The 13,589-nt window shown below is 52.9% G+C and overlaps 1 long non-coding RNA gene across 1 annotated transcript in view; it reads right to left on the bottom strand.

Moving 5' to 3' along the window:
• LINC00620 (long intergenic non-protein coding RNA 620) overlaps positions 1-13,589 on the bottom strand; it is a 95,915-nt gene that overhangs the window by 50,856 nt on the left and 31,470 nt on the right. The window contains exon 2 of the long non-coding RNA NR_027103.1: positions 7,564-7,667. This is a non-coding gene — a long non-coding RNA (long intergenic non-protein coding RNA 620). The remainder of the gene's footprint in view (positions 1-7,563; positions 7,668-13,589) is intronic.

The following is a 13,589-nucleotide window of genomic DNA, read 5'->3' as shown; positions in this document are numbered from 1 at the left end:
TGCACAGGGGCGCCAGTGGACATAAGCTTTAGAAATCCAGGAAAGGTTGAGCCTCTGTTTCCATCCCCAGCTCAGGAACAGGCACGGAGAAGGGGTCTAGAGACAGTGGTGGAAGGAGTAGGAAGAACAAGAAAGCAGATCTCTCCTGGGCCCCAGACCAGCATATCCAAATGCCTGTCTCCCTCTCCCCTTGAAGCAAGGCGAATCTTGTGTGTTCCGGACTGAACTGCAAGTTTGTTCATGCTTTGGTCTTCCCTATCACAGTAAATGGCACCCCTCGCCACTTAGGGGTCCAGGCCAGAATCCTAGGGGGTCACCTTTGTCTCTCTCATCCCCTCCACCCTCCTCAAGTTATCACCAAGTCTTGATTTTACTTCTTAAATTTCTTCCAACCCATGGCTTCCCACTAGTTTCACCACCGTGTGTCCCAGCCTCAGCCACCATTGGTCTCCCTGCCTTCACCTTCACCCGCTACAGTCTCTCATGCACTCAGCAGCAAGAGTGACCTTTTTAAAACATCATCAGAGAATGTCCCTCCCTGCCCTCAACCTCCCGTGGCTCCCAATTCACTCAGAGGGAACTCTGCCTGGTCTGGCTGTGTTATCCTTGACCATGCATCTCCCTCACTGGATGTGCTTCTTCCACCGGGCCTGCACTTGGTCCTCAAACACAGGCAGTGCGCTCCCTCAGGGTTGCAGCCTTAGCCCAGCCAGGCCTTCCCCCAGGACCACTCTCGTCTCCACTCTGTTCATCTGACCTCTCCCTGCAGGATGGCACTAAGGGTGGCTTGGACCCACCCAACTCTCTCATGCCATTCTTACTTGAAGTTTTAAGAATCGCTGTAGAATGTGCTGGGGATGCAACATCCGGGGATAAGAAGGACCTGGCCAGAACACCCTGGGCTCTGTTCCTGTCCCTCCTAGAGCAGGATGTCCTACAGAGATTTAGCTCAGCAAGTTGCATTGTCCCGGGGATATGAAACCCAGAGCCAACTGCTTTCCAGAGCCCTTCAGCTGCAGTGCAAATGGGGCACATGCAGACAAGACTCCATCCACCCAGGGCAGCTTTCCCGAGCCTGGGGGACCAGCTCACCCTGAATCCTAGGCTCTGCTGTCCCTTGCTACCTATCTCTAATTAACAAGTCTGGTTTGTGTAACTTGCCGTAGGTGAGTGTTGTCTCACTGGACTCATGCAAGTGATAAATTAACACAACTCAAAGTGCAGTGGGCGAGGTGTTTAGAGTCCTCCCCTGGGATTGACATGGTGCACAGTGACCCTGCTTCACACTCCCCAACCTCCCTGCTTGAGCTAGTGTCGCCTGCACCAGAAGACTGCCTGGCCCTGCTCTGCACCTCTCTCCCCAACCTACAGCAAGTCTCCGGTTACTGTCTCTCTCTGCACCATTTCACTATCTTCATAGCCCTCCCCACACCTCCAGAGGTTGTAACTTCTTGTGTGTGTGTGTGTACCTGCGTGTGCATGCGTGTGTGTGCGCCTGTGTGTGTGCATGCATGTGTGTGTGTGACATCTGGTCTCCTCCCAAGACTGCTCCAGGAGGGCAGAATCATGGTCGATTTGGCTCAGTGCTGTGTCTCCAACACACGGCCCTGGGCCTGACACATTGTAGGGGCTCTGTATATGTTTGAGGATGAAAAACAGAAATATTGGCCCCGCCAAAAATCATGTTGAAATTAATCCCCAATATGGCAGTACTGAGAGATGGGGCCTTTAAGAGGTGATTGGGCCTTGAGAGCTCTGTCCTCATGAGTAGATGAATCTACTCATGGATTAATGAGTTAATGGCTTAATGGGTTATCATGGGGGTGGGACAAGTGGCTTTCTAAGAAGAGAAAGAGAGACCTGAGCTGGCACACTCAGCCCCCTCACCATATGATGCCTTGCACCACTCTGGGACTCTGCAGAGAGCCCCCAGCAGCAAGAAGGCCCTTGCCAGATGCAGCCCCTTGACCTCGGACTTCTCAGCCTCAAGAACTGTAGGAAATAAATTCCTTTTCTTTATAAATTGACCAGTTTCAGATATTCTGTTACAAGCAACAGAAAATGGACAAAGACAACCCTGTTTCCATGCTTTGCCAAATAGGGTTTTGGCCTTCCCTGGAGGTTGGCAGGCCAGGGCTGGGGCAGCTGCTTGTGGCTGTCATCTAGATCACAGGCTCTTTCCAGCTCGTGGTCCTCCATCCTTAGTATGTGGCTTTCATCCTCACGCAGGCAGCAAGAAGATGGGAGGGTAGAGAGGGAAAGGCCTGTGCCAGCCTTTTCAGGAAACAATAGCCTTTTAGGAACCCACCAAGCAGAGTGTCACATCCCTCTAGACAGAACTGGGTCTAGTGGCCACCTCTAGCCAGAAGGGCATCTGGGGAAGGAGCTTCAAGGACATATCATTCCTCTGAACTAAACTGGTGTCTGTTAGGAAGAAGGAAGGAGAGGAATGGATGCAGGGTAGATCAGCAGCAGCAACAGCTGCCACAACTGCCCAAACCTTTCTCTCTGCCCAAGCCAGAGCCATTTCTGGGTGATCGTAACTAAGATCCACATGGGGGGAACTCGATCCACCTGAAGGAACTGGGAATCTTCCCTGAGGAAGTGACATTTGAGCTAAGATCTAAAGGATACTAGGGGTGACCCTGACAACACAGGGCAAGAGAAGAATTCCAGGCAGAAGGAACAGAAGGGAAATGCTGAGGGAGAAGACAGCGTGGGATATTTGAAGGAGAGAAAGCAAGCCAGCATAACCAGAGAACAGACAACAAGAGGGAGAGGGCAAGGAGAAAGGGCTGGAAAGATAGGAGAGGGCTGGCACTGGGCCCTGTGGGCTGCAGTAAGGGTTTGTGACTGCTCTATGAGCAACAGGACCAGCCACAAGTTTTCCACAGAAGATTAACATGACTTTTAAAGATCATCCAGGCTTGGAGGGGGCCAAGAGAAGTGTGTATGAGTCAAAATAAATTAATCCTGTAACAAAGAGGCCCCAGATCACAGTGGATTGAAACTCCAAAGGTTTATTTCTCACTCATTTCACATCCAATGCAGGGTGGCCTAGGGGCTCAGCTCCACAAAGTCATTCAGGGATCTAGGTTCCTCCCATTTTGTGCATCTCCGTCTTTGACATGTGGCCACCAAGTTTACTTTGGCATCCTCCAGCTGGCGAATGAAAACAGAGAACATGGGGAGGAGGATGCAGGGTTTTGGAGGCCAGGCCTGGAGGTGGTGTGTGTCCCTTCTGCCCACATTGCTTTGGCCATAATTCAATCACATGACCCCTGCTAACTGCTAGGAGCAGGGAATGTGGCCTCGTTCAGTACCCAGGAGGAAAGGAGGCGACATGGATATTGCTCTCCACTAGCAGTCTCTGCCACAGTCCACCCTTGCCACCACATACCCATGAGGCCCTCCTTCCCACACATAGATAAAGCTCATTCTCTCCCCAAGGGATACAACCCAAAACTCATCCAGCCACCGCATTGTCTGGTGGCCTGTGAACTATAGAGAAAATGTGTTCATCATCCCCTTACACTCACACATGCACACATACACACACATACACATAGACACACACACACACACACACACACACACACACACACACACAATGTGATCGTGAGGCAGGGATAAGATAACCTCAGTAAAAACTCCCATTCCGAAGAGAAAGGAATGGCAACCACTCAACAGCAAGCAGTCCATTGTGCAGAGTCCATTGCACAGGGGCAGGGACTGAGAGATTTCTCTACCCTGGCGGCCAAGGGTGTCCCCTGACTAGACTCTGGCTCTGCTCTCCTAGAAAACCCCTTGTCGGAACATCACACACCAGGGACTGCTGTGGGGTGGGGGGACGGGGGAGGGATAGCATTAGGAGATATACCTAATGCTAAATGACGAGTTAATGGGTGCAGCACACCAACATGGCACATGTATACATATGTAACAAACCTGCACATTGTGCACATGTACCCTAAAACTTAAAGTATAATAATAATAATAATAATAATAATAATAATAATAATAAAAAGAAAACCCCTTGTCCAGCTGGGTGCAGTGGCTCATACCTGCAATCCTAGCACTTTGGGAGGCTGAAGCAGGCGGGTCATTTGCAGCCAGGAGCTCGAGACCAGCCTGGCCAATACATGGTGAAACCCCGTCTCTACTAAAAATATAAAAATTAGCTGGGGTTGGTGGTGTGCACCTGTAATCCCAGCCACTTGGGAGGCTGAGGCAAGAGAATCACTTGAACCCAGAAGGCAGAGGTTGCAGTGAACCGAGATCGAGCCACTGCACTCCAGCCTGAGTGACAAAGGGAGACTCTATCTCAAAAAAAGTAATAAAATAAAGTAAAATTTTCTCCATTCCCCCCTGACCCGAGTTCACCCTTTATGAGCTCTTCTTTGTTAATTTTCCTCCGCGGCCGCCTCTGATGTGGGAGTGCAGTGGAGTTCCCTCCTCAGATGCCACAGAATTTTCGGAACCTACTTCCTGCTTGTGGATAGTAGGGGACCCCAAGGGTATTTTAAGTTTCAGTCAAAGACTCTTCTGAGTCCAGGATCATTGTGTCCTTATCAATGCAATTCCCTCCATAGCTAACTTTCTGATCTATTCGCCTCCTGTCAGTCCTATATGCCAGTCAATGATCATACCCGTGGTTCTTTCCTAGGCTTAATTGTCCAGCCCCATTTATTTTTTCCCTGCTTCCTTGCCTCCCTGCCTTTTCCTCCCAACATAATAATGACAATCTCAAGGCTATGTAATTGAGTGGAAATGTCACATCCTTCTTCTAATCTTCACTGCAGTCTGAAGTGTCTCTCGCTCTTATTTCCTACTGTTTCAGTTCCAGATGTGCTTAATTTTCCAACCCTGAAAAGCCCCTCTTTCTGTTCCCTTTTGTTTCTGTTTCAAACCAGCTGTGACTCTCCTGAGCTCATCTCTTTCCTGTAAGACCTTGCCAAATGCAGCCCATGGTAGCCAAGACACACTAATCTGTTAATTCCTTCCAACCATTTCCCCTGGAGCTACAGGCTCAATGCTGGTATGCTCTGTCTTCCCAGCTATCATAGGCAACTGTTCTCCCAAATACTTTGCCACTTCATAACGTGGACTGCCATATTTCACAGCCTCTAATATCAATTTCCACACTGTCACTCCACAGCCAATGCCACACTTTACAGGTTCTTCTGGTAATGCCCATTTCAGATTACCAGTTTTTGTATTGGTTGGAGAAAGCTAACAGCCCCAAATCTCAGCAGCTCATCACCATGAAGATCTATTTCTCGCTCTTGTTGTAGTTCAAGGAGGCTTGGCCAAGGGGCTCAGCTTCACGCGGTCACTTCAGGACTGAGGTTCCTTCCATGTTGTGCACCAGTGTCTTCACTGTGCGGCTTGGAGGGCACCCTGGCATCTTCCAGCCAGTGAGTGGAGACAGACTGTCTGCAGGAGGAGTTCGCCTTTTCTGGGCCAGACCTCAAAATGGCAGGCATTACTTCCGTCCACAGCCCAGGGGCCAGAACTCAGTCCCTAACTGCAGGTCAGCCTGAGGGATGTGCTTATCTGTGTGCCCAGGAAGAATGGCAGCACCCCAGATTTCAGATCTGGGGTCTAGCAGGTGCCCACAGGGGCCTCAGTTCATGCTTCTTTGCCTGGATGCCTCCATTCTGCCTAGAGCACGCCTTCACAGCCTCCAGGGTTCTGATCCATGGGTGACACTTCCCTCCCCCAGGCAGGAGGGGAGGAGAACAGGTGCAGGGTAGATCAGCAGCAGCAGCTGCCACAACCACCCAAACCTTTCTCTCTGCCCAAGCCAGAGCCACTTTTGGGTGATTGTAACTAAGATCCACAATTGATATGGGGGGACCCTAACCACCCCATATCCACCCCAGGCAGAAATGGCAAGTCCCTGCTCTGTGCCTGCCCTGTAGTCTATACAGGCCTCTTCCCAGCACTCCTCGATGAGGATGGCAATGGTCCCCTTAACTGACGTCCAGAGCTCAGGATACAATAACAACACCTGACTCAGATCCACGTGCCCAGAGTGGCACAGCATGAAGCCTGGCATGGAAGAGACACCCGTTAGTGTCTGTGAAAAACCAAATGTCAGCCAGGACATTGGCTCCGAGTGACAGGTGGCTTCCATTAATTATACTTCCTGCCAGCTTGGAAAATGTATCTGACATCTCTTGTCTCCCACCTCACATGTGCTGGGCCATGCCTGCCCTCCAGCTGTGTCTGCAACAACCAGTTCTGCATAGGATCAACCTAGAGTGCCTCACATCCCAGCCCTGATGATCTCTCATGGGCCTGCTGAAGCCGCCAAATGGGACAGGGTACTTTCCCCCAGAGCCATGCTGACACATGGGCAAACCAGAAGTGCGGGGAGGGAAGGGACGCTCCACTCCATAAGGACTTAACCCCCTCCCTGGGAGGACAATCCTGAGGCACCCGACACACTCCACAGAGGGCCCCCAGCAGGCTTGAGCCCTCATTGCCCACAGCAGTGACTGGCTCAATAATGCCCCCTTGGACTGGCTTTGGGGGCTTCCATCTCACTCCCCTCAATCCTCCTTGTCCTTGGGATTGCGCCTCAAAATAAACTGCCAAGTCCTAAACCCTTGCCTCAGGCTCTGTGTTTAGCTGGGAGCCCAGGCTAAAAAACACATTTTTTAAGCTGACAAGAAATATAACCAACAGAAGCCACCTGCTGCTCAGAGCCAGTGTCCTGACCGACATCCGGTTTTTGACTGACACCAATCAGTGCCTCTTCCGTGCCAGGCTCCGTGCTGTGACAGGCTGGGCACATGGAGATGAGTCAGATGTTGTTCTTGCACCCTGAGCAAGACCGGTTACTTTTGCCAGACTGGAGGGCCCCTAAGCCCCCAGAAAACTGGCCTGTTCAGAGAAAACCCGACACTTGAGTGTGCTGCTCCTGGAAAGACAGCTGCCTCCCCTGGTACCCCCAACCCAGTCCAACCCAGCTGGCATCAGCCTAGTTGACTTCCAAAGTCCTTTTCATCCTGAAACTCCCTGCCATGGGGACTATGGCATGTGTCCATCACACAGGAGGAGAGGACCAAATCCTCAGCTTGTCAGGCAAGGCTCCCAGAACCAAGCTCTCCCCCATCCACTGTCTTACATCTTCCTTCCCTTCTCAGTGTTCCCACCAACACCCACATGACAATTTCCACTGCTTTGGGTGCATTGTGTCACCCTCCAAAATCCACATACTGAGGTCCTAACCCCCAGTATCTCAGAATGGAAACTATATCTCAAACAGGCCTTAAAGAGGTAATTATGGTGAAATGAGGTCCTTAGGGTGGGCCCTAATCCAAGCTGATTGGTGTTCTTATAAGAAGAGGAGATTAGAACACAGATGCCCAGAGGAAAGACCATGTGAGGACCCGGGGAGAAGACGGTATCTACAAGCAAGGAGAGAGGCTGCAGGAGAAAGCAACCCTTTCTCTTGTTTAAGGTCCCCTGTTGGTGGTTCTTTGTGATAGTGAATACATCCCCTCCACACCTCCGTCCTCACCCTGGAATGCCTTCTCCCCCCGCTCAGCTCACCAGGTCCTGTGCCTCTCCGGGCCTTCACACACTGTCACTTTCAGGAGCCCATGTCTTGCTGGAGCCCTTCCCTGGCCATGAAGCAAGTGACTTCCCTTCTTCATCTGTGGAATAGGACAACCACGTCTCACTCACGGGAGAATGCACCATAACATACATAAAGCACCTCGTGGTGCTCACAAAAGTCGAAGATTTTCATCTCAACAGCTCTGCTTAGAGAACATTCTGGCTGACTGAGCTAGAATCTGCTCCCCACCCCATTGAGCCCTGTGTCTGCCTGCATGCCCTGTCCTGGGGCAGCCTGCAGAAGCCAGGGCTTAGCCACAGGCCCCCTACCTCCCACAAGGCTCAGCAGCCGCAGACCCTCCCTTCTGATAACAAACAGCACAATTTTGAGACCTTTTATCCTGTCAAGTCAGGCCCTAGAGACAACACATTCACTGTGTCAGCTGGCCCATTTTGGGAGAATCCAGAAAAATTACTGGATATGCAAAGAGAATGCAAATGAGCTGCTTCTGAGCCCAAAGTGCTCCCTTTGGCATTCTTTAAGGGCCTGCTTTAGCGAGTAGATATAAATGCCTGTAAGTGGCACAGAGCAGCTGTTGGCATGGAAACGGTGCTTCCACGGTGCTTAAGGAGACTTCAAATCAGCCCTGGAACCAACTATGCTAAACATCCTCTCCCCCTGCGATCTTGTTCACACTCAAAGTTCCCACTTCAGCTGGAGAGAGGGTGAGCGTGGCTTCAGATGGTGAGTGCTGACTCGAGATTCAAGAGATTTGCCCCAAAACGGACACAAGCTTTAAAGTCACAAAGACCTAAGTTTAAACCTTGGCTACCAAAATGCCCAGCGGTGAGACTGTGGATGGATTGCCAGATGCCTCTGAGTCTTCGTTCCTCACTGTAAAATGGCTAAGTTGTGGGGGAGCTGTCCTGAGGATGCAACCAGTTAGAGGGGTCCTTACAACCCCACCCAGCCCTGGGCAGAGGCTGCCAGGGGCTCTCATGCGCCCAAAGCAAGGCCCAGGACATGTGAACACTCAACATTCCGTCCTCCCTCCACACAAGGAGGAAGGAAGAAACTTCTCTCAAGTCGATCCATACATCTTTTGGGCTATTTTTATTTGTGTTCCGGGTGAAATAAAACAAGTTAAAGCACAGCATGAAATCTGAAGATTCCACCTTAAGGGGAAAAAAATCAACCTTTGCAATAACAAATAGTTGGAGCTGGTGCACTACTTGGGTGAAATTGTTACCCCTCGAGACAAGTCTAAACTCTTCAGCGTTATGAAAAGTCTGAGGGTTGCTTTGCCACTGAAAATTTATGGCCCCCAAATCATTTCTAAAAGACAGCACACATTCCCAACTGAGGGTTTCCTTCTGGTACAACCAGCTCCCTTCTCTGGGCGAGCTGGGGAGGCCCTTGGCTGCCACATTTGGGGACACGAGGCAGTTGGTGCATTTCTGTCTGAGGTGTCTGCTCTGTGGGGCCCCACACAAAACCCAGCACATAGTAAACGCTTAACAAATATTCTGTCTTTGTGTATTTCTGCCTAGTGGCAGCACCGAAAGATGGATTGGGAGGGTTCCCTCTCCCTAGAATGCCCTTGCCACCCCTCCCCCTACCAGACACACAAATAGAACCTCAGCTCTGGCTGTACGCTCACCGCTCACCACTCACCAGCAGGGGACTGAAGGCAGTTGCCCCCATACCCCTCCTCTAAGGAACACATTCACCCTTGAAGATGAAGAACCAGAACTTGCCTACACTGAAGGAAACTTCTAGACCAAGTGGTTCATCCCTGAGTTTTATGGATGTGGAAACCAAGGCTTCAGGGGTGCAAGGGAATCTACCAGGGCCACATGGAGGTGAAGCTGAGACCCAAAGTCCTGGCTGACTCACCTGGGCAGGGACAGCTTCACATCCAGGGTGGGCAGGTTTAAAGACCCAGACCCGCCCTCCCCTGGCACTGGTCTGTCCATGGGCCCCAGAACCTCTGAGGAGAGGCGCTAGGTGACTGCATACTTTCGCATCTCTGTTGACTTTGGAGAGCAGAGGTGCCCCCAGCTCAAGAGCCTCCATGGGTCCCATCCCCACTCTGTGGTCGGAGGGCATTGGTGGCTTCCTCTGCCCTCTGCCAGCCACCCTGCCACCCCTGCGCCCCCTCCCAGATGAGCTGCGGTCTGACCAGCTCCTTTTTGTCCCCCCTTCAGGCAGGGTCATTCTCACACTATCCCCATTTCCTGGCCTCCCAGCAGCTCTCTCAGTGCCCAGCCTCCCTCCTCAATGGCACCTCTTTGGGTCTCTGATTTCCCAGGGTTCTACTTGCTGGTCCCTCTGGCTTCACAGCCTGAGCTGCTCCCCTTAGCCCACTGCCTCCATCTGATGCCATGCAGGAGGGCAGGGCAGAGGTCTCCTTCCTCTGTCCCCACCGAGCTCAGCAGCAGTCAGCCATGACGCCTCCTGAGCACAGACAAAATGCCAAGAGGCCTGTGCTGAGCCCGCTCCAGGCATCACATACTTTAGTCCACTCCGAAGCTCAGAGAAGCTAAGTGACTTGCCCAAGGTCACATGGCAGGTGAGAAACAGAGCAGGGAGTCCAAGAAGGTTAGTTCAGATGAGCTGGGAGTCACAAACAGAGGCAGCTAAGGGGCCAGGCAGAGCACATTAATGAGGGCCCTGGCTCAAAAGGGGTGTGGTGTGGGAGACACGTCCACCTCCTTAGTGGGGCAATGCCCCCAGCTCCAGCCTGAGGTTAGCAGCTTGGGATCACCAGTACAACCAAAGTTTCTAATTCTTCAAGAGAAGGTGGAAACCCAAATTTGTATGGGAAACCTCCTACATTTGAACGTCAACACCTGCCCTGATGTTTTACGTAACACAGGACAAAGAAAATACATCTGCAGGCCTGACCCAAGCACCACAGCTGCCAGTATGGGGCTTGGCGTTCTTTCCAAATAACAGTTTCAGAGCACGAACGTACAGGCCCTTTTTACAGACAAGGAAACTGAGGCCCAGAGATGGGGAAGGCGGCTGTGGTTACATGGGGCTCAGTGGCAAAGCGCAGCCAGCCCGTCCTTCAGCAAAAGGGATGAAAAACAGCAAACAGATGCTGCCTGGCTCCCATCCCTGTGTGCACAGGACCTGGGGCCGTTTCAGGCAGAGACTAGCGACGGGGCTAGAGGCCTCTCTGGGTGATTAGGAGGCGGGCCTAATGTCTCTGGGCCTCAATTAACCCACCTGCAAAATAGGGAAAGAAAAAAATATGAATTCTTCCCTTCATTTCTGACTTTGTGAAGATGATAAAGGAATCATGGGTAGAAGAAATACGTAAGCAAACCTAAAATCAGGAGAAGTGACAGGTCCCTCCGTGTCCTGATTAGAGCTTCCTAGACTAAGAAATTAGAACAGGTTTCTGGGTGTCACAGCCCTTGGCATTTAAAATAGGCCATGGAGGTAAATCTTGTCCTCTCAGGGGCTGGGAGCTAGGACCACATTTTACAGATGAGAGGATGGAGGCTTGGCAAGGCTTGGTGCGTGTCCATAAACCCAGGACCCGAGGCCTCTCCGGGGGACCAGGAGACGGACCCCCGAGCTCAGCAGGCTGTCACCCCAGTGTGGCTGCACTCAGTGCTCCCTTTGAAGTTCAAAGAATGGGCCTCACCCCTCCAAAGCAGGCAGTAAATCAGGCAGGAGAAAGGAAACTGTCCATCCCGGCTGAGTTATGGCAGCCACGGCGAGACAGCCCCCACCCTCCGGGACTGCCGGCCCCACCCTTACCTGCCCCTGCCCGCCCTCTCCTGCCCCCTCTGCCCTGGCCCATCTCCTCTACCCCCACCTCTGGCTCCCAGGGTGTCTGGCCGGAGGCTTCTGCAGGACTCTCCCTCCAACCCCATCTACCTCTAAGGCAGTCTGGAGGCCCCTCCACGCCTTCTCTATCAGAGAGTGGTTTGGCCAGTGCTTGCATACCTCCTGTGATGGGAAGCTCTCTCTCATGCCCAGCCAGCTTTGGCCTGGACAAAGCTCTCCCTTCGTGGGTTTGGAGCAGCTCCCCAGTGCTCTCCCATCTCACTCCCATGGGCCGGCCCTACACTCTCGGTCACAGGCCCCTCTCCTCCCCCAGCCCAATACAGCCCTGCAGAGATGGGGGGACGAACACTGCAGTCACCTCAGGTGGCTCTCGGTGTCCCAGGCTACCCAGGGAGGCAGACAGCGCCCTGCCACAGGGGCCTGAGGGTTCTGGTGAAAACTCCAGAGTGAAGGTGCATGTGAATGATTTGCACTTGGAATTGCGTAAACTCGTGGGTGAAACGCATGGATCGGAGCAGCGGGGTGTGCACCTGAGGGAGCTCAGCCAGTGTGCAGCTGTGTGTGACCCCAGCCTCTAAGGATGCGGCCATGAGGCAGTGCATCAGTGAGTGTGCATGCTCATGAGTGTGACTGTGCAGTGTGGGCACAGGGGGCTGGTGGGGCAACAGGGGAGCCCAGGGTGCGGCACAGTGAGGAAGCAGGAGTATGGGAGGCTGTGAGCCTCCGAGCATGTGTGAGAACACGGGACTGTGTTACGAGTGTGTGTGTGAGTGTGAGTATATGAGAGTTGTGTGGGTGTGAGGATGTGAGGGTTGTGAGAGAATGTGGGATGAGAGTTGTGTGTGAGAGTGTATGTGAGAGTGCACGTGTGAGAGTGTGAGTCTGTGTGTGTGAGAGCTGTGTGGGTGTATGCACCTGTGTATGAGGGTTGTGAGAATGTGGGTGTGAGAGTGGTGAGTGTGGGTGTGGGTATGTGAGTGTGTGTGAGAGAGTGTGTGAGAATTGTGTGGGTGTGAGGGTTGTGAGATAGACTGGATGTGAGTTGTGTGTGTGGGGTGTGAGTGTGTGAGTGTGTGTGTGAGAGTTGTGTGGGTGTGAGGGTTGTGTGTGTGAGAGAGAGTTGTGGGGTGTGTGTGTGTGTGAGAGCGTGTGAGTTGTGTGGGTGTGAGGGCTGTGAGATAGACTCTGGATGTGAGTGTGGGTCTGAGTGTGTGAGTGTGTGTGTGACAGTGTGTGAGAGTTGTGTGGTGTGAGGGTTGTGAGATGAACTCTGGATGAGTTGTGTGTGGGGGGTGTGAGTGTGTGTGTGAGACAGTGTGAGAATTGTGTTGGTGTGAGGGTTGTGAGATGGACTCTGGATGTGAGTTGTGAGTGTGGGTGTGGGTGTAAGTGTGTGTGAGTTGTGTGGATGTGAGTGTGTGCCTGTGTGTGAGGGTTATGAGAGAGAATGTGGGTATGAGTTGCGAGTATGTTTTGTGGGTGAGTGTGTGTGACAAGGAGGTTGGTGGATGAGGTGGGCTGCCTGCCCCAGCCCGGTGGGACAGCCATGGGCCGGTGGCAGGAACAGTGCTGAGCTCCTCCCTGGATGCGATCAGAGGAGAGGTGGCAGGGAAGAGGTGAGGCACTGGCCGCGAGTCTCAGGGTTGGGGGTGCTCAGCCACCCCAGGGCCCTCCTCTCCTACTCAGGGCCTCCTGGGGCAGACGGAGGGGGCTGGCTCCTGACTCACCCAGGGTCCCCGGGTTCCTAGGCTGGGGCAGCAGCCGAGGGGGCTGGTATAGTTCCTTCTTTGAGGCCTGACTGCAGGCCCTGGACAGACCGCTGCCCCTGGCACCCACCTCTGGAGAGAGGACAGCACCTTCCTTCCAGGCTGCCATGAAGGCCCGGTGCCTTTCTGCTGTAGTCTGGGTCCAGGGCCACCCTTCTCCCTGTGGGGCAGGCCCAGGGGACAGCCGGGGGACGCCCTGCTCCCTCTACACCCTCACCTGCTCAGCTGCAAGTCAGCCAGGGCCCCGAGACAGATGCCTGGGCGCTGTCCTGACCAGCCACTCTCTGGCCCCACATCCAACCCACCGCCAAATCCCTAGGTTCTTCTCCATCTCTCAGGGACCCATCCCCAGCTTTTGGTCTCCACCGCAACCATCGGGCCAAGCCACCACCACCTCCTGCCCGGACCACACAGCGGCTCCATGACACATTCCTGTAGACACGTGCATG

This window comes from Homo sapiens, chromosome 3 (assembly GCF_000001405.40).
Source record: "Homo sapiens chromosome 3, GRCh38.p14 Primary Assembly".
Lineage (NCBI taxonomy): Eukaryota > Metazoa > Chordata > Mammalia > Primates > Hominidae > Homo > Homo sapiens.
Note: the sequence above shows the minus strand (reverse complement) of the source record. Positions and strands in the feature narration are given on the sequence as shown.